At 50.3% G+C, this 18352-nt stretch overlaps 1 protein-coding gene across 31 annotated transcripts in view, besides 2 other annotated features; it reads left to right on the plus strand.

The window, feature by feature from the left end:
• The window catches only part of EHMT1 (euchromatic histone lysine methyltransferase 1), a 217123-nt gene that overhangs the window by 146454 nt on the left and 52317 nt on the right, over nt 1-18352 (plus strand). For 27 of the 31 annotated variants that reach the window (XM_047423872.1, XM_047423875.1, XM_047423878.1 and 24 more), the window contains 5 exons: nt 9651-9794; nt 11160-11386; nt 12424-12597; nt 14177-14259; nt 16833-16939. In XM_047423872.1, the coding sequence (XP_047279828.1) occupies nt 9651-9794; nt 11160-11386; nt 12424-12597; nt 14177-14259; nt 16833-16939 (735 nt within the window). The remainder of the gene's footprint in view (nt 1-9650; nt 9795-11159; nt 11387-12423; nt 12598-14176; nt 14260-16832; nt 16940-18352) is intronic. The other 4 variants (XM_047423883.1, XM_047423884.1, XM_047423885.1 and 1 more) reach the window with 1 other exon arrangement.
• Nucleotides 14505-15436: an enhancer, noted in NCBI's record as "H3K4me1 hESC enhancer chr9:140674415-140675346 (GRCh37/hg19 assembly coordinates)". NCBI's record gives its function as "activates a minimal SCP1, AML or CMV promoter by ChIP-STARR-seq in primed H9 embryonic stem cells {active_cell/tissue: H9 hESC(primed)}" and the evidence as "EXISTENCE:reporter gene assay evidence [ECO:0000049][PMID:30033119]".
• Nucleotides 16504-17004: an enhancer, noted in NCBI's record as "H3K4me1 hESC enhancer chr9:140676414-140676914 (GRCh37/hg19 assembly coordinates)". NCBI's record gives its function as "activates a minimal SCP1, AML or CMV promoter by ChIP-STARR-seq in naive H9 embryonic stem cells {active_cell/tissue: H9 hESC(naive)}" and the evidence as "EXISTENCE:reporter gene assay evidence [ECO:0000049][PMID:30033119]".

Here is an 18352-nt window from a genome sequence, read left to right on the forward strand (position 1 = left end):
AACACAGATCCCTTGGGCTCTCACTTATTTTTTGGATAGAAAACTCAAAATAATAATAAATTAAATTAAATGAAACGTAGATCCCGAAGACCATACAAAACAAACATTGGGCTGAACAAACCAACTTCAGCTGAGCTCTGGTAAACACCGCCAAGGTGGAGAAGCGGAGCCTGACCCCCCAGCCCCACTCCCCTCACTGCCCCACTCCCCCCGCCCCCGCCGCCCCAGCCTGTCCCCGCTTGTGTTCTTCCCGGCAGCCCCGCCCAGCAGCCTCTGTCCCGACTCCCACAACGCCCACTTCCAGGGTCAGTTTCACTGTTTAGGTTTGTAGCTTCCCCTGTGGCACTGCTGCCCATCTGTCCTTCAATTTCTATATTGTTCTCGGTCCCTTCTTTTTCTTTCAATGTGTCTGTTGAACAACCCAGGCTGTTGGAAGCTTCGAGGCTCCCATAGTCTGGATTCTGTGAATCCCACACTTAGGTGGCAACTCAGCAGGTTCCTCTGTGTTTCTTGCAAAACCTGCCAAGGCCGGGTGCAGTAGCTCATGTCTGTAAAATGGGAGGTCGAGGCAGAAGGATTGCTTGAGCCCAGGAGTTCAAGACCAGCCTGGGCAACATGATGAAACCCCATCTCTTAAAAAAACTTAAACAGCCTTACAAGTTTGGCCCCTTTGTAGTACTCTTGAGTGTGGGGAGGGTTTAGCCCAAAATGAAGGGCCATGTTGTCTGGCTGTCTCACTTTCTCTGATATTGGCAGCTGCTGATGCTTAACACCTACATTTGTTGTTTATTCATTGGAGGTTTCAAAATGGTGCTGATTTTATCATTTATTATTCATTGTTCACTGGAATGGTTTTATAGAGAGACATATCTCAGGCCAGGCACAGTGGCTTATGCCTGTAATCCCAGCACTTGGGGAGGCCGAAGCAGGCAGGTCACTTGAGCTCAGGAGTTTGAGACCATCGTGGCCAACATGGGGAAACACCATCTCTACTGAAAATACAAAAAGTAGCCACTTGTGGTGGCGCCTGCCTGTAGTCCCAGCTACTTGGGAGGCTGAGGCAGGAGAATTGCTTGAGCCTGGGAGGCGACGGTTGCAGTGAGCATCAGTCGTGCTGCTGTTCTTCAGCCTGGGCGACAGAGTGAGACTCCGTCACAAAAACAAAAACAAAAACAAAAACTACCTGTTTTGTTTTAAAGGCTGTGTTGTCTGATATTAACATAGCTACTCAGCTTTCTTTTGATTAATGTTTGCACCGTACGTCATTTTCTACACTTTTGCTTTTAGTCTGTCTCTGTCTTTAAATTTAAAGTGGCTTTCTTGTAGACAGCATGTAGTTGGATTTGCTCTTTTAATAAAGAAAAATTTTGCTTTATTTTATTTTTCGAGACAGGTTCTCACTTGGACCCCCAGGCTGGAATGCAGTGGCTCTCATTGCAGCCTCCACCTTTGGGGCTCAGGTGATTCTCCCAGCTGAGCCTCCCGAGTGGCTGGGACTACAGGCATGCAACACCACGCCCAGCTAAGTTTTAATATTTTTATTTTGTAGAGATGGTATCTCACTATGTTCCCCAGGCTGGTCTCGAACTTCTGGGCTCAAGCTATCCACCTGCCTTGGCCTCCCACAATGCTGGGATTGTAAGTGTGAGCCACCGTGCCCAGCCTACTTTTATTTTTTAGAGATAATGTGCCACTCTGCTGCCCAGGCTGGAGTGCAGCGGTGCAGGCAGAGCTCGGTGCAGATTCAAACTCCTGCACTCAAGCAACCCTCCTGCCTCAGCCTCTTGAGTAGCTGGGATTGGAGCTGCCACCATGCCTGGTGGTTTTGCCCTTTTATCTAACATAGTCACGTGCTGCGTAACAGCGTTCAGCCAACGATGGACTGTAGCTGTGAAGGTTGTAATACAGGTTGATGTACCGTATCTATGAAGGTGGTCTGATAAGGTTACAATACAGGTTGAGTATCACTTACTCAAAATGCTTGGGACCAGAAGTGTTTTGGATTTCATTTTGGATTTTGGAATATTTGCATTATACTTACCAGTTGTGCATCCCAAATTCAAAAATCTGAGAGCAGGGTGAGGTGGCTCACGCCTATAATCCCAGCACTTTGGGAGGCTGAGGTGGGTGGATTGCTTGAGGTCAGGAGTTCAAAACCAGCCCGGCCAACATGGGGAAATCCAGTCTCTACCAAAAATACAAAAATTAGATGGGCGTGGTGGCGGGAGCTTGTAATCCGAGCTACTTGGGAGGCTGAGACAGGAGAATCTCTTGAACCCGGGAGGTGGAGATTGCAGCGTGCCAAGATCTCACTACTGCACTCCAGCCTGGGCGACAGAGCAAGACTCCATCTCAAATTAAAAAAAAATTAAAAATGCCTCAGTGAACATTTCTGTTGAACGTCATATTGGCCCTCAGAAAATTTTGGATTTTGGAACATTTTGCATTTCAGATTTTTGGATTTGGGGTGTTCAACCTGTTTTGTATTTTTAGTGCAAATTTTTTGTGATCAGATATGTTTAGATGTACATATACTTCCTGTTGTATTACAGCTGCCTACAGTATTCAGTACAGTCATGTTTGTACAACTTTGTAGCCGAGGAGCAACATTGGGTACCATAACCTGAGTGTGGAGTGGGCGACACCATTTAGGCTCATGCAAGTACAGCCTGTGATGTTCAGACCAGCAAAATCACCCAGTGACACATTTCCCAGAACACACCGTGTTGTTACGTGAGACATGACTGCATCACGGTCCCTTTGTTAAGTTGATATATTTAGATTATCTCCATTTAATGTAAGTATTAATATAGCTGGATTGCAGGCTAACATCGTAATAGTTTTTCCACTTATACCATCTGTTTTCCTGTTTTCTTCATTTTCTGTGTGTTTTTTTTTTTTTTTTTTTTTCTGAGACAGAGTTTCACTCTTGTTGCCCGGGTTGGAGTGCAGTGGCAGGATCTCGGCTCACTGCAATCGCTGCCTCCCAGGTTCAAGCGATTCTTTTGCCTCAGCCTCCCAAGTAGTTGGGATTACAGATGTGCGCCACCACGCCCGGCTAATTTTTTGTATTTTTTTTTTTTTTTTTTTTTTTTTTTTTTTTTTTTTTGAGACGGAGTCTTGCTCTGTCGCCCAGGCTGGAGTGCAGTGGCGGGATCTCGGCTCACTGCAAGCTCCGCCTCCCGGGTTCACGCCATTCTCCCGCCTCAGCCTCCCAAGTAGCTGGGACTACAGGCGCCCGCCACTACGCCCGGCTAATTTTTTGTATTTTTAGTAGAGACGGGGTTTCACCGTTTTTAGCCGGGATGGTCTCGATCTCCTGACCTCGTGATCCGCCCGCCTCGGCCTCCCAAAGTGCTGGGATTACAGGCGTGAGCCACCGCGCCCAGCCTAATTTTTTGTATTTTTAGTAGAGACGGGGTTTCCCCATGTTGGCCAGGCTGGTCTCGAACTCCTGAGCTCAGGTGATCTGCCCGCCTCAGCCTCTCAAAGTGCTGAGATTACAGTCGTGAGCTACCACACCCAGCCTTTTCTGCATTCTTTTGAATTTGAATTTTTTATGATTCCAATTTATTTCAATATTGGCTTTATTATTTGAACTTTTTTCTAATGTTTTGAATGGTTTCCCTGGAGTGTACAATACACATCTTTAATTTATCACAGTCTACCTCCAACAAATCATTATACCACATAACATACAGTGTAAGAATCTTACAGTAGGTCCTGTCTTGTATCTTGTTTCTGCGTTTTAATTTTATATATGCTAAAACTCTACAGTATATTGGCTATTATTTTTGCTTTAAGTATTTTTTTTTAGTTTGATTAAACATAAGAATAGTTTAACCTTCATCTTAAACATATCCAGAGATCTTTATTCCTTTGTATCCAAATTTCTGTCTTTGTGGTATTATTATATTGTATCTAAAGACTTTCCAATAACTCTTTTTTTGGTAGCACAAGGCTGCTGATAATGAATTCTCTCAGCTTTTGTTTGTTTGAAAAAGTTGTTTTGTCTTAATTTTTCAAAGATACTTACTTCCAGGGACATAGAATTCTGGGTTGGCAGTTCCCCACCCCCCAGCCCTTAAAGAGGTTACTCGAGTGTGGCTTGCATGGTTTCTAATGAGACATTGGCTGAACTTGCCTCTGTTCCTTTGCATACTATATGTCATTTTTCTCTGTCTGCCACCAATATTTGCTTTGGTTTTCAGCAGTTTGAAAATGATGTGCCTGAGTGTGGTGGGTTTTGTTGTTTTGTTTTGCTTTTTTGGTATTTATTTTGTTTAGGTTTCGCTGAGCTTCTTGGATCTTTGACTTGATCTCTATTTATGTTTAAGAAATTCTTAGCCAGCTATCACTTTTTTTCTTTCCTTTTCCTTTTCCTTTTCCATTTTTTGAGACAGGGTCTTACTTTGTCACCCAGGCTGGAGTTCAGTGGCATGAACACGACACAGTGCAGCCTCAACCTCCTGGGCTCAAGCAATTCTCCTGCCTTGGCCCCACAAATAGCTGGGACTATACACTTGCGCCACCACACCTGGCTAATTTTTGTATTTTTAGTAGAGACAGGGTTTTGTCATCTTGCCCAGGCTGGTGTGGAACTCCTGAGCTCAGGTGATCCGCCCGCCTCGGCCTCCCAAAGTGCTGGGATTACAGGTGTGAGTCACTGTGCCCGGCCCACTTTATTTCTTCAGTCTTGTGTTTTTTTCTTTCTTTCTGGGATTCCTTGTACACACGTTAGATTGTTTGACATTGTCCCACAGCTCTTCAATGCCCTCCTCTTTTTTTCTCCTTCCATTTTAGTTTTAGATAATTTATGTTGGCCTTTAAAATTATTCACCAGTTCTTCCTTGTTGAGTATACTTCTGAGCCAGTCAAAGGCATTTATCTCTGGTACTGTTTGTTTCTAGCGTTTTACGCTGACGTTCTTGAAATTCCTCGTCTGTAGTACAACATTTCAGTCATCTCTGAGTGTGCTTCTGTTGATGTTTCTCTCTCTTGACAGTGGGTTCAGATTTCTCTAGTGCAAGACTTTTCAACCTCAATATTTTTGATGTGTTGGGCCAAGTAATTCTCTGGGGGGAAGAAGGGGCTGCCCTGCTCGTTGTTTGGTGCTGAGCAGTATCCCGTTGGACACCAGATACCTCCCCTATAGCTGTGACAGCCATAATCTTTCACCTGTGCCCTAGGCCATAGGGTTCGCTTCCCTCCCAGCCAGCTACCTTGTTCAGCAAGACAGAAGGATCCATGTAGGCCTCACACCAAGGAGGCTTCTGGTCTCCACCTTCCCTGCCTCCTCTGAGCACCCAGGAGCGAACCAAAGAGAAGAGTGAGCAATGGGTCTGGTTCCCTGGGGCTGCAGCTTCCAGGCTGTGTCCTGCTGGGGGAGGCACTCACAGCTGCCTGGATTGCCTTTCCTTTCTTGAGTGAGTTTGTTTTGTTTGTTTTCCTTAGAGCTAATCATTGCCTCCCTATTCATTTTTTTGTTTTCTGTGTACTTGTTATAAACCCATTCCCAAACTGATAGAATTGCATGTTTGTATTCTCAGACACATCAAGTTGCTGGATCACATATCTTCACTTTACTCTTGTCTTGGTGGTGCATAACCTTTAGTTCTTAAGACACATTGCTCAGAAGATAACTATTTTGAGCCTTTGAATTCTGAAGTGTTCTCTCTCATGTCACGGACACTGTGGCCCTCCAGTTCTCCCCTCAGAGCTGCCTCCATCTTCCATGTCTTTTTTTTTTTTTTTTTTTTGAGATGGAGTCTTGCTCTGTCACACAGGCTGGAGTGCAGTGGCGTAATCTCTGCTCACTGCAGCCTCCTCCTCCTGAGTTCAAGTAGTTCTTGTGCCTCAGCCTCCCAAGTCACTGGGATTACAGGTGCTCGCCACCATGCCTGGCTAATGTTTTTGCATTTTAATAGAGACGGAGTTTCCCTATGTTGGCCAGGCTGGTCTCAAAGTCCTGACCTCAGGTGATCCTCCCACCTCGGGTTTACAGCCGTGAGCCATTGCGCCCTGCTATCTCCCATGTCTTTGAGCATAATCGTGCTAGTGTCTCCCACAAACACTTCTCTGTCTGCACGTCTCTGTGCTCCTCGGAGTCCTGGTCTTGGCTGGTTGGCTTCAGCTTCTTTCGTCTTAGCTCACCACAGGCGAGCACCTTGCTGGACGACATGGTCTTACCGAGGAGATGGGGGTGCTGGGGTCTTACCGAGGAGACCGGGGTGGCGGGGCGTTTTGGCTACAGCAGTGCTGTTCCCACCTTTGGACTTTGTCTGTTCATGCTTGCTCGGGCAGCGTCGGGCAGAGAGGGTGCCACTGGGAAGGAAGGGAGGGGCCCCATCGGCAGACCTGAGCAGCAGAACAGCTGGGATGAGTCACAGGGGACCCCAACTTGGAGGCTTTTGTATCTCGCTCAGGAGCGGGGCCCACAGTGGAGCCCAGATCTGGTTTAAACCAGATCCAAGGAAGAGGAAGGAAGGGAGGGCATTCCCACAGCTGAGGAAAGGCTAGCCCAGGACAGCTGCACACCCCACTGTGTCCTAATAAGCCACCATGCAGAGCCTGTGGGCCCTGCAGAGCCTGTGGGCACTGGGTATTAAATTGCGCTGAGAAAGTGCTACCTGTGTTCCGCTTGATAATGGTTCTAAGGTTATATGAAGTATGATTTGTTAGCAATGCATATGGAGTTATTTATGGCTAAAATGGCATCATTTTACCCCTAGGTACTTTGCTAAATATACCAGCACACCTCTCCAAGCACAAAAGGTTATAGGGGATGGCTTGAACGAGAAGAGAAAATACTGGTAATTTTTGAAATTAGGCATGGGCACATGGGGATACATTTTACGTTTGTCTCTATTTTTGAAAGTTTTCTTAATAGAATATTTAATAAAACAGACACTAAAAAAATAGGAAACCGTTTTGTAGCGGTGGGCTTGTGTGGAGAGTAGATAGTGAGCTCTGTGGCCACCTCTGCAGAGGGTGACCCCTCACCTGCGCCAGGTGGGGTGCCTAGCTGCATGGACCTCGTCTGAGGCTCCGCCTCGCCAGCTCTGTATTTACACCAGCTCAGCCCCTGCCACCGAAGCTGGCCCTGATTCTTTAGCCTTCCAGGGTTCTGCCGGTGCGGACCCACCTTCAGGCAAGCAGGTTTGGGTTATCTCTACTTTGTGAAGTCAGTACCTGTTTCAGCTGCTTTCTGTCCTGAAAGCACAGCACCTCCCTGTGGTGGGCTCCTTTCTTGTTCTGGTCCCTCCTTCAGGATCCGGTCAGCAGTCGGTGAATCTGTACTCTGCTGTGGTGAACCCAGGGTGCCCCTCCCACCCATGGTGACCTCAGTGGGGCCACCCCAGTGCATCTGTGTTTTTCCCACCTTGTTAAAGGATTCCTTGTTTTATCTCTTTTTTCCCAACCCTAACTGGATCCCATTGTCATTTATTTGATATATCCTTCCCAGAACATCTCCTTCCTTACATTCTCCTGCCGTTCTGCCTGGACCCCCTACCCCGCAGCTCCCTTCTGTGTTTCCTTCTTACACAGCACAGAGCCAGAATCATACAGCATTATCGTTTTTATGATTGTAAAAATAATGCATGCCGATTGTAAAATAATCCAGATACTACATACATGCATGAATAAGAAAGTAAAATCACTTCTTATTCCAAAACTGAGGGAATCATTCTTAGTACTTTTGTATGTTCTCCTAGACTTCTATGTGTATAACCACATTGAATTTTTGAAAATAACTTGTTTTTCCTTTAATGTAAACATTTTTCAAAGTCAGTAGGTACAAGTGCCCTGCAGCCGCTGGTCCTGAACCAGGGAGTCACTGCAGAAGCATTTGGTGGTGGTGGTGTGGAGGGGGCATTTTTTCAGGATGTACATGCCCTGGTTCTACGCCTTTCAGGTCTTGTTCCATAGGTTTGGGGTGGGGCCCAGACTGTCTTTTAAAAAAGTTGCCTGGGTGATTCTAATGCAGCCTCATTTGGGCATCGAGAAGTCTCTTGCTGGCTTCAGGGTAGATCATTTATGCCACCTGGGCGTGCCCTGCAGCCACTCTTCTGCAGGTAGACAGGTTGGTTGTTCCTACTTTTCTGTTATTGCAAAAGCTGGGTCCTTCTAGATACATGTTTGTGCACTTAATTATATCTTCAAGTGGAGTCTTAAGAATATGTATTTGTAATTGATTCATGTCTCCAAGTTGCTTGCTGTGAAGTTTGGACAGAACTCACAGTGATGGTGTGTCATCTCTGCAGACCCCACAGATACCAGCTTTGCAGTGTGCCAGACCGAATACGAAGAATGTCAGAGGCTTATGTTGAATTTCTTTGTGTAATTTCCTTTGGGGGGCATTTGTAGTTCTTCTTTAGTGAAATGCCACTCAATTATTTGCTTATTTTTGGGGGGGCTACTTCTTGTTTTCTTATTGGCTATCAGAGAACTTTCCGTAGCAAACCTGTAAGGCTTTGTCTGGTGTGCTGCAGAGTGCCTGGCATCCTGGGTGCCCTCATTGCTTCCACCTCCACAGGCGCCTTCAAGTCCTGGTCCTCTCAGAATCCTCCAGTGACCATGTTCCCCAGTCAGGCCCCAGACTCTGTGTCCTGCTCCTTGCCTTGTGTGCAGGTTCCTCTGGCTGCCCCAGAATCCTTGGGGCTCCCACAGATTCATTGTACCGCTGCCCACTGCTGGCCTGTGATGGCCTGGACTGTCCTGCCAGGTATACGTTCATGTTTCCTGGATACCCAGCCCAGAACCCCTCTCACCCCAGAACCTTCCTTGACTTCTGCCAGAGTTGAGCAGCCGGCCCTCTGGTAGGCGCATGTGAGTGGATGTGGGCACATGTGGCCCACTGGATCTGGTGGATGTGGTCGCGTCTGGCCCCCTGGATCTGGTGGGTGTGGGCACGCCTGGCTCCCTGGATCTGGTGAGTGTGGTCGCGTCTGACCCCCTGGATCTGGTGGGTGTGGGCACGCCTGGCCCCCTGGATCTGGTGGGTGTGGGCACGCCTGCCCCCTGGATCTGGTGGGTATGGTCGCGCCTGGCCCCCTGGATCTGGTGGATGTGGTCGCGTCTGGCCCCCTGGATCTGGTGGGTGTGGGCACGCCTGCCCCCTGGATCTGGTGGGTATGGTCGCGCCTGGCCCCCTGGATCTGGTGGATGTGGTCGCGTCTGGCCCCCTGGATCTGGTGGATGTGGTCGCGCCTGGCCCCCTGGATCTGGTGGGTGTGGGCACGCCTGCCCCCTGGATCTGGTGGGTATGGTCGCGCCTGGCCCCCTGGATCTGGTGGATGTGGTCGCGTCTGGCCCCCTGGATCTGGTGGGTGTGGGCACGCCTGGCCCCCTGGATCTGGTGGGTGTGGTCGCGCCTGGCCCACTGGACCTGCTCATGTGCCGCTGCCTCCTGCAGTTTGTGCAGATGATGGGCGTTTCCTTCTCTGGGCTCCCTGTTTGTCCCCCGTGCTGAGGCGTGTAGCAGGTGCTCGATAAGTGCTTGCAAAGCCAAGCTGGCCTTGCAGGGCTCGGCTCAGTCAGCCCACACCTGCTGAGCAGCTCTTGTGTGCCTGCACTGCCCAGCGCCTGGTGGGAGGGAATGCCGGCCTCTCGTGACTCTGACATTGACCACCAGTCTTGTCTGATTGCAGTTGGGCCGGTGCACAAACAGCGTGGTCAAGTATGAGCTGATGCGCCCCTCCAACAAGGCCCCGCTCCTCGTGCTGTGTGAAGACCACCGGGGCCGCATGGTGAAGCACCAGTGCTGTCCTGGCTGTGGCTACTTCTGCACAGCGGTAAGAGCCCAGTCCGGCAGCCTCTGAGTCCTCCGCAGGCTTTGCTGTCTGCTCACTGGTGCTGGTTCCTGTCCTGTGTCCACCTGCTGTCGGGTGGTCCAGCAGCTGGCCCAGGTCTGGTGTCCGTCTGGAGGTCTCCAGTGTTCACAAGCCCCTCACCACCCCTGTCGAGCCCCAGTGCCTTAGACACCTTCACCCCCAACCCCCATTTCCCTCCTACCGCCTGGAAACCGCTTTTGGAGATGACTAGGACGGTGTGACCTGGGCTTCCAGGCCAGAGGAGGGAAGTGAGGGTTGGGGGTGAAGGTGTCTAAGGCACTGGGGCTCGAGAGCAGTGGTGAGGGGCTTGTGACGCACTGGAGACTCCAGGTGGAGGCTGTACTGAGGACGTTCATCCCCCATGACAAGGGTGTACTGAGGACATTCACCCCCCATGATAAGGGTGTCCAGAGCACACAGCTCCTGGGAGAGGTGGCAGCACCTTGCTGTGCCCTGGGCTGTTTCTGCTGGGATCTTGGGTCATCAGTTACTTCAATGTCAAACATCTGTGCTCAGCCGTGCCCAGGGCCCCCCGAGAATGGGCTGCTTCCCTTTGGAGCTCCCCTGTGTGGGCATCCTCGTGCATGTAGGGTGTGTGTGTGTGTGTGTCTGTGCGCGCACACATCTGTGTGAGCCTCTGCCTGTAAGCGTCTGTCTGTGTGCGCCTGTGTGTGTGAGTGTTTGAGTGTGAGCTTCAGGCACCCAGAGATGCCCTGCTGCCCCTTTACGAACATGGGCCAAGAGCTTCCACTTTTGGGAGACTTTCTTTGGACTTCACACCTTGCATGTCCTCCCCATCTTCAAACATCCTTTTTTTGGTTCTGCTACATCTGTTTATCTCTGGCTTTCTGCAAGAAAATGCTGTTCTTACGGCTGTGTGCCCCTCCTCGAGGCTCACCTGGGTCGCCAAACCACATCTGCTGCGCACTGCTGGGCACTGAGGCAGCTCCACCTGCCTGATGCTGTGCCCTGAGGTGCTGTCGTCTGTCCCTGTCCCTATCCGCCCTTCAGAGTAGGGGCCTTCTGGGTCCTTCTTTAGGCCTTCTCTTTGCGGGCAGCCTCAGCTTTCCTGGGCCTAGGTGGGTTGGAGGCAGCCAAGTGACCTCTGTCTGGCTTCAGCTTCTTCTCTGTGGGGCGAGAGCACCACGGGAAGCATCGTTCCTCCTTCTTAACGATGCCTGGGGCCAAGACTGGACCCCACCCCGACCCATGGCTCACTCTGCAGACCGCCCGATGTGGGATGCGGTGCCAGTTTAGTAGTACTTTATTTTTCTAAATATTAACCCCAATTAAAACAAAAATTTTTTTTTGTCCTCCCATTTTTAGGGTAATTTTATGGAGTGTCAGCCCGAGAGCAGCATCTCTCACCGTTTCCACAAAGACTGTGCCTCTCGAGTCAATAACGCCAGCTATTGTCCCCACTGTGGGGAGGAGAGCTCCAAGGCCAAAGAGGTGACGATAGCTAAAGCAGACACCACCTCGACCGTGACACCAGTCCCCGGGCAGGAGAAGGGCTCGGCCCTGGAGGGCAGGGCCGACACCACAACGGGCAGGTACCTGGCACAGGCTCTGGCTGGGCTCTCCAGTCGTCCACCTGAAAAAGTTTCAGTTGTTAACTCAACGTTATTGCTTCCTGCTGTTTTTTCCAGAAGTCTCTGAGCTGATGCTGATGCTTATGGTGATTTCTGACATTTAAGACTCTGAAATTCATTTATTGCCATTTGTGCATACGTTGCTCTCTTTCGGTTTGGTTATGTAGATCCATTTGCCTGTTTTGAACCGGTTTTCACAGCACCCCCATTGATGTAGCTCTGTGGTGTTTCTGTTGATGGCACAGTCCTGTTGGTACACAAGCGATAGACGAGTGGTGGCTGCTGCAGTCTGTGACCGAGTTCTGTGGTATTAAGGTTTGAAGGCCTTAGCTGAAGACAAAAAAGTCTAAAATAATTAGAAGTGTTCATATTAGACAGATACAATTGTCTTCCTGAAAGAGTCCAGTAGAAACAGCTGAAAAATTTTTAGAGCTCAAAAGAGTCAGTAAGAGGATCTGATAAGAAGAGATAGAAGCCACTTGCCTTCTTCCTTAGCAGCAGTTCCCTGCCTGAGAATAAAATAACAAAAGAGACCCTTTCAAAACAGCAACAAAACTTGTTACTACCCAGCAGAACAAAGAACTTAAATGTGACACTAATATAAAGAAAATAAACTTCCTTGAAGATTATTTAAAAGAGACTCAAATTGTGGACATGTTAAGGTGATTCCTTCCTATTAACCTGTAAATTTAATGCACTTTGAATCAAAATTCCAGTGGGATTTCCTTTTGTTGGGGTGGGCAGTGGACTTGATAGATTCAGCTTGAAGCTCATTCATGAGAGTGTATTTGAACACGCTGCCCAGAAGTCTAGGAAAAGTTGCCCTAGTTTTCTCAGGAAATTTGGTTCTGAATCCTGAACCGTTAAATCCAGGGACTAAGCGGACAGTAAGCAAATCCGCAGCTCTCACTTAGAAAACAGCGCTCTCGGGCAGTCAGAGTCGGAACAGGCCATGTTTCGTGTTTTCATAAACCTTTCCCCGATTTCCTCCCCTGAAGTGCTGCCGGGCCACCACTCTCGGAGGACGACAAGCTGCAGGGTGCAGCCTCCCACGTGCCCGAGGGCTTTGATCCAACGGGACCTGCTGGGCTTGGGAGGCCAACTCCCGGCCTTTCCCAGGGACCAGGGAAGGAAACCTTGGAGAGCGCTCTCATCGCCCTCGACTCGGAAAAGTAAGACCTGACATGTGATTTCAGAGATGTCTCAGAGCCTGTTTTAATCTGCACCCCGCGTTTTTCCCCATGGTGTCACTTTAGCACTTCTCAGCTTTTTGATTAATGCTGTTCGTTAGAATAATTCGTATATTTTCACACTATTTTGGGAAATTATTGTAAATTACTGTCCTCTGCATTATAGTAAGAGCAACCTCTGACACCTTTGAAGTCCTAAGTGAGGAGGCAGGTCTTGGTGAGCTTTGACAAACATTTCCTGGTTGCTGTTGGCCCTGAGCTGCCCTTAGGTCATGAGAGCAGACACTGCTTCTGCTGCCTTGACTCCGTTTCCCTCCCAGGCCACACCCCATCTGTGCAATGCGAGGGTTGGGCCAAGGGGCCCTCCAGGCTTTCCCGACAGCTCACAAAAACCCACCCCTCCTCGTCCTCCTCTCAGCATTGCCCCACCAGGGAGGCAGACCAGACTGTGGCAGTGAGGCTTGCGGTGCCTCCTCCCTGGATCTCCCCTCTGTCTGCCTCCAGCCTCGCCTCTGAGCCTGCTCTTGAAGCGACGGTACCATCTGCTGACGCCAACAGGCCCTGCTCGCTGACCAGACCCCAGACTGTTCCTGACCCACAGGCTCTGCTCGCTGACCAGACCCCAGACTGTTCCTGACCCCACTCTCTCCCCCATCCCTTGGTGATTGTGTTAGTCTGCTTTTGTGTCAATATAAAGAAATGCCCAGGGCTGGATGATTTATATAGAAAAGAGGCTTAATTGGCTCACGGTTCTCCAGACTGTACAGGAAGCATGGTGCTGGCATCTGCTCCTTGGGAGGCCTCAGGAAGCTACAGTCATGGTGGAAGGCAAAGCAGGAGCAGTAGCAAGAGACAGAGAAGGGGGAGGCTCCCAGACTCTTAAGCGACCAGATCTTGTGGGAACTGACTGAGCGGGAACTCACTCATCACCAGGGGGAGGGATGACACTAAGCCATTCATGAGGGATCTGCCTCCAGGATCCAGTCACCTTCTACCAGGTCTCACCTCCAACACTGGAGGTCACATTTCAACGTGAGTTTTGGGAGGGACAGAGGTCCACACCATATCAGTTATCAGCTTAGTCATCGAGTTAAGGTTTCAGAGCAAAAGTGCCAGTGTTCCCAGCTCTCACCGCCCAGGACATCTTCTGTAGTGCGAGCTGTGCCCTCACTCGTGACCACGCTGTGTGGGCTCATCCTGGCTGGGGCTGGTCCCGGCTGTGCTGAGCGTAGATGAGGTTCCCCTGCATCCTGCGCTGGTTCTGTCGTCGTGTTGTGTAAAAGCCTCACAGTGCGTAGTGTTCTCCTGCGGTGACTGGGAACGCAGTTTCTTGTCCGCAGTTTTTACCATGAGATATCTCGACTGGTGGGTTTGCACTTGAGCTTGTGGGGCTGGTGGGCAGACGTCTGCCGGGCCTTCCAGCCTTCAGCTTCATGTGTGGGACGCGGAGCCCCATGAGCTTGAGGGGCTGGTGGGGAGATGTCCGCCGGGCCTTCCAGCCTTCAGCTTCATGTGTGGGATGCAGAGCCCCATGCTGACTGTTGTCTTGTGCTTCCCACAGACCCAAGAAGCTTCGCTTCCACCCAAAGCAGCTGTACTTCTCCGCCAGGCAAGGGGAGCTTCAGAAGGTGCTCCTCATGCTGGGTAAGTGCCTTCCTGCGGCCCGGGCACATGCAGCCGGCCCTGTGGCACTGAAAGAAGCCGAGAGCAGTTGTTACTCCTTCCTCAGGAGGCTGGTCTCGTTTTGGTTTTCTGTTTCTGTGTCTCCGAGTTCTCTGATGAGTGAGAATAGGTTGCCCACTGGTGTTGAGGCTTTTTATGGTGTTCATATCCAGTTACGCAAGATATTAGAACTATTCTCTACGAAGTTCTAATTTTTAAAAAGGAATTGGTATGTGATTATTAAATCAAGCAGAAATAGAGATTAAGGAAAAGCAAAACTAGTGAGTTGTGGCCCTGAGATGTGTGGTGATGACGCTGAGATGTGTGGTGATGACGCTGAGATGTATGGTGATGATGCTGAGATGTGATGACGCTGGGATGTGTGGTGATGACGCTGAGATGTGTGGTGATGACGCTGAGATGTGTGGTGATGACGGCATCACTGAGATGTGTGGTGATGACGCTGAGATGTGTGGTGATGACGCTGAGATGTGATGACGCTGGGATGTGTGGTGATGACGCTGGGATGTGTGGTGATGATGCTGGGATGTGTGGTGATGACGCTGAGATGTGTGGTGATGACGGCATCACTGAGATGTGTGGTGATGACGCTGAGACGTGTGGTGATGACGCTGAGACGTGTGATGACGCTGGGATGTGTGGTGATGACGCTGGGATGTGTGGTGATGACGCTGAGATGTGTGGTGATGACGGCATCACTGAGATGTGTGGTGATGACGCTGAGACGTGTGGTGATGACGCTGAGACGTGTGGTGATGACGCTGGGATGTGTGGTGATGACGCTGAGATGTGTGGTGATGGCATCACTGAGATGTGTGGTGATGACGCTGGGATGTGTGGTGATGACGCTGGGATGTGTGGTGATGACGCTGAGATGTGTGGTGATGACGGCATCTCACTGAGATGTGTGGTGATGACGCCGAGACGTGTGGTGATGACGCCGAGACGTGTGGTGATGACGCCGGTATGTGTGGTGATGACACTGGGATGTGTGGTGATGACGCTGGGATGTGTGGTGATGACGCTGAGATGTGTGGTGATGACGGCATCTCACTGAGATGTGTGGTGATGACGCCGAGACGTGTGGTGATGACGCCGAGACGTGTGGTGATGACGCCGGGATGTGTGGTGATGACGCTGGGATGTGTGGTGATGACGCTGAGATGTGTGGTGATGACGGCATCACTGAGATGTGTGGTGATGACGCTGAGACGTGTGGTGATGACGCTGGGATGTGTGGTGATGACGCCGGGATGTGTGGTGATGACGCCGAGACGTGTGGTGATGACGCCGAGACGTGTGGTGATGACGCCGGGATGTGTGGTGATGACGCTGGGATGTGTGGTGATGACGCTGAGATGTGTGGTGATGACGGCATCACTGAGACGTGTGGTGATGACGCTGAGACGTGTGGTGATGACGCTGGGACGTGTGGTGACGACGCTGAGACGTGTGGTGACGACGCTGGGACGTGTGGTGACGACGCTGGGACGTGTGGTGACGACGCTGGGACGTGTGGTGATGACGCTGAGATGTGTGGTGATGACGGCATCACTGAGATGTGTGGTGATGACGCTGAGACGTGTGGTGATGACGCTGAGACGTGTGGTGATGACGCTGGGATGTGTGGTGATGACGCTGGGATGTGTGGTGATGATGCTGAGATGTGTGGTGATGACGCTGGGATATGCGGTGATGATGCTGAGATGTGTGGTCATGACGCTGGAATGTGTGGTGATGACGGCAGTCGATGTTTCACCTGTGCTGATCGCAGCAGCTGTGGTGTGGACAAAGTAGGCTTCAGCTATAGGTATTTTATAACAGGCAAACCGATTGCATTAGATTTCTAATACGCAAAAGCATACTTGTTAGAGAGCCTTCCCAGTGATAATTTGGTCTCTGAGCTCATAGCTTTAGGCTTGATTTCTCTGACGTTCATCGTCTCTGGGTTGAAAAGGATGATTAAGAAGCCCTTTACTGGACAGTACGTCAAGTAAAAAGAAGTGAAACTATTTGCTTTTAAAGAAAGGTTTATTTATGTTGACCAGCAGTTTTAATCATTTTGTCATGGACTTCACAGGACACCTGTGAAGGTCACCTCACTGCTCCGTTGCTCACCGTCCTCTCAGACCTCCTGGGAATTGACCGATGCTCAGGCCTCTGTCCCCGGCCTTGCTTGCTCCCCTAGGGTGTGTCTGCCCTGGTCAGCCGCCTCACTGGGCCTGGGGCGGCCATGGCCAGGCCACACAGAAACACAGAAGGAACCTCAGAGTTAGAGCAGGGTGGTAAAGGGAAGAGCGTGCCTTGCCGAGTTAGTTCTGACAGAGGGACCTGCCTGTTCAATTCCGCAGGAGACTAGCACACTCAAGTCTCAAGTCCAGAGGATGGTGCTGTGGGCGGGTTCCGGCGTGGCTCGAGGTGGCTGTTTATGTGGAGGATGGTCATTTGTGAGTGCTTGCCAGCCATCGTGACAGTCCTGAGCTGGAGTCTGTGGCTACATCTGAAATCATTAATAAAACTGTGTTTGTTCACAGTGGACGGAATTGACCCCAACTTCAAAATGGAGCACCAGAATAAGCGCTCTCCACTGCACGCCGCGGCAGAGGCTGGACACGTGGACATCTGCCACATGCTGGTTCAGGTGCGGCGGCACGGCGCCCTCCTAGGGCTCTTCACCTGCTCTCTTTTATTTTTACCAAAGTAAAATCATACCACGTTCGCGGTTCTTCCAGTGTAAGAGTTCCGTAGTGCTGTGAATCGGGCACAGAGTCAGCTTTTCTGCCCCCGAGTCCTGCAGGTGGATCAGTGCTTCCCGCTGTTTCTTCCGGCATTTACCACGGCCTTTGAGAAGAGCATGCCGCCATTTGGCTGTTTCTTGATTTGCTTTCTTTGGTTTTGGTTTTGGTTCTTCACACTCATGACGTCCCTCTGGGGGAGCCAAGCACTCGCAGAGGCACGGACGCCCCTCCCCCAGCCCCGTTGACTGGCTCCCATTTTGTTTAGATCAGATCGTGTGAGCATTTTCAAGCTGAACCACGTCGTCTACAGGGTATGTTGTGTCTGTCGTTAATCACTGGCTTGTGTTTCTGTTGGTTGAGTTGACTCTGCCACCTGCTAATTTATTCTGAACCATCTGAACGCTGCCCGCTTGTCTCTGGGTTCAGACACACGACGCTGTTTGTCCCCCTGTGACGCCCCTTCCCTGATCCCGGTGTTGGATCCCCTGTTTCTCAAGTGCCAGGTTTGAGTCTGGTGCAGTCTGACTTCTGATCCTTTGTGTGTGACCTATTATTTCTGGAGACTTTAGGAACTTTCCTTGAACCCCACTGGTCTGAAGTTGTACCTCATTGTAATGTGGGTCTTTTTAGATCCACTGGGGCATTTGGTGCATGTGCTGTGCCCTTTCAGTGCAGAAATCCACACCTGTCAGTTCTAGGAGGATTTCCTGTGTGACTTCTGTGCCCAGGTCTTCTACCTGTCTCAGCTCTGTCCTGGGACTCTCATAACTCAGGTGTGGAACCTTCCAGACCGATTTCCTGCCGTGGTCTGTTTTCTTGTCTTTTGGTTCTGCCTTCTAGGCAGCATTCTCACCTTCAGCTTCCAGCTCCTGGGGGATTCTTAACATGTGTGGTCACATTTTCAAATCCCAGTAATTCCTTTCTGCTCTTAGATAGTTCCTCTTTCAGTAGCCTCTTTTTCTTCCCTTATTTCTCTGATGGTATTATGGTTATTTTGAAGTTTTATGCTGCTGTGTTTTAGTTTTTCTTATCTAAAGGTTTTCCTCAAATGCCCAGTGATTCTCGTTTATATTTAAAGTAAACTACTGAAAAGCTGGTGGTAGCTCTTGCTTGCCGGGGGCTTGTCAGCTGTAGGGTGATCTGCAGGCCTGGCTGTTTTGTTGGGGCCCCCAGGCCCCACTGTCTGGGAAGGACCTGTCTTCTCGGACTGCACCTGTCTCTGCCTTTCTTAGGGCCAAGAAGGAGAGAGCGACGGGGCGCACCGTCTGCTGTGCCCACACTCACCCGCTGTCCAGCTGCCTCAGTCTGTCCCCCGT

Source organism: Homo sapiens, chromosome 9 (assembly GCF_000001405.40).
Source record: "Homo sapiens chromosome 9, GRCh38.p14 Primary Assembly".
NCBI lineage: Eukaryota > Metazoa > Chordata > Mammalia > Primates > Hominidae > Homo > Homo sapiens.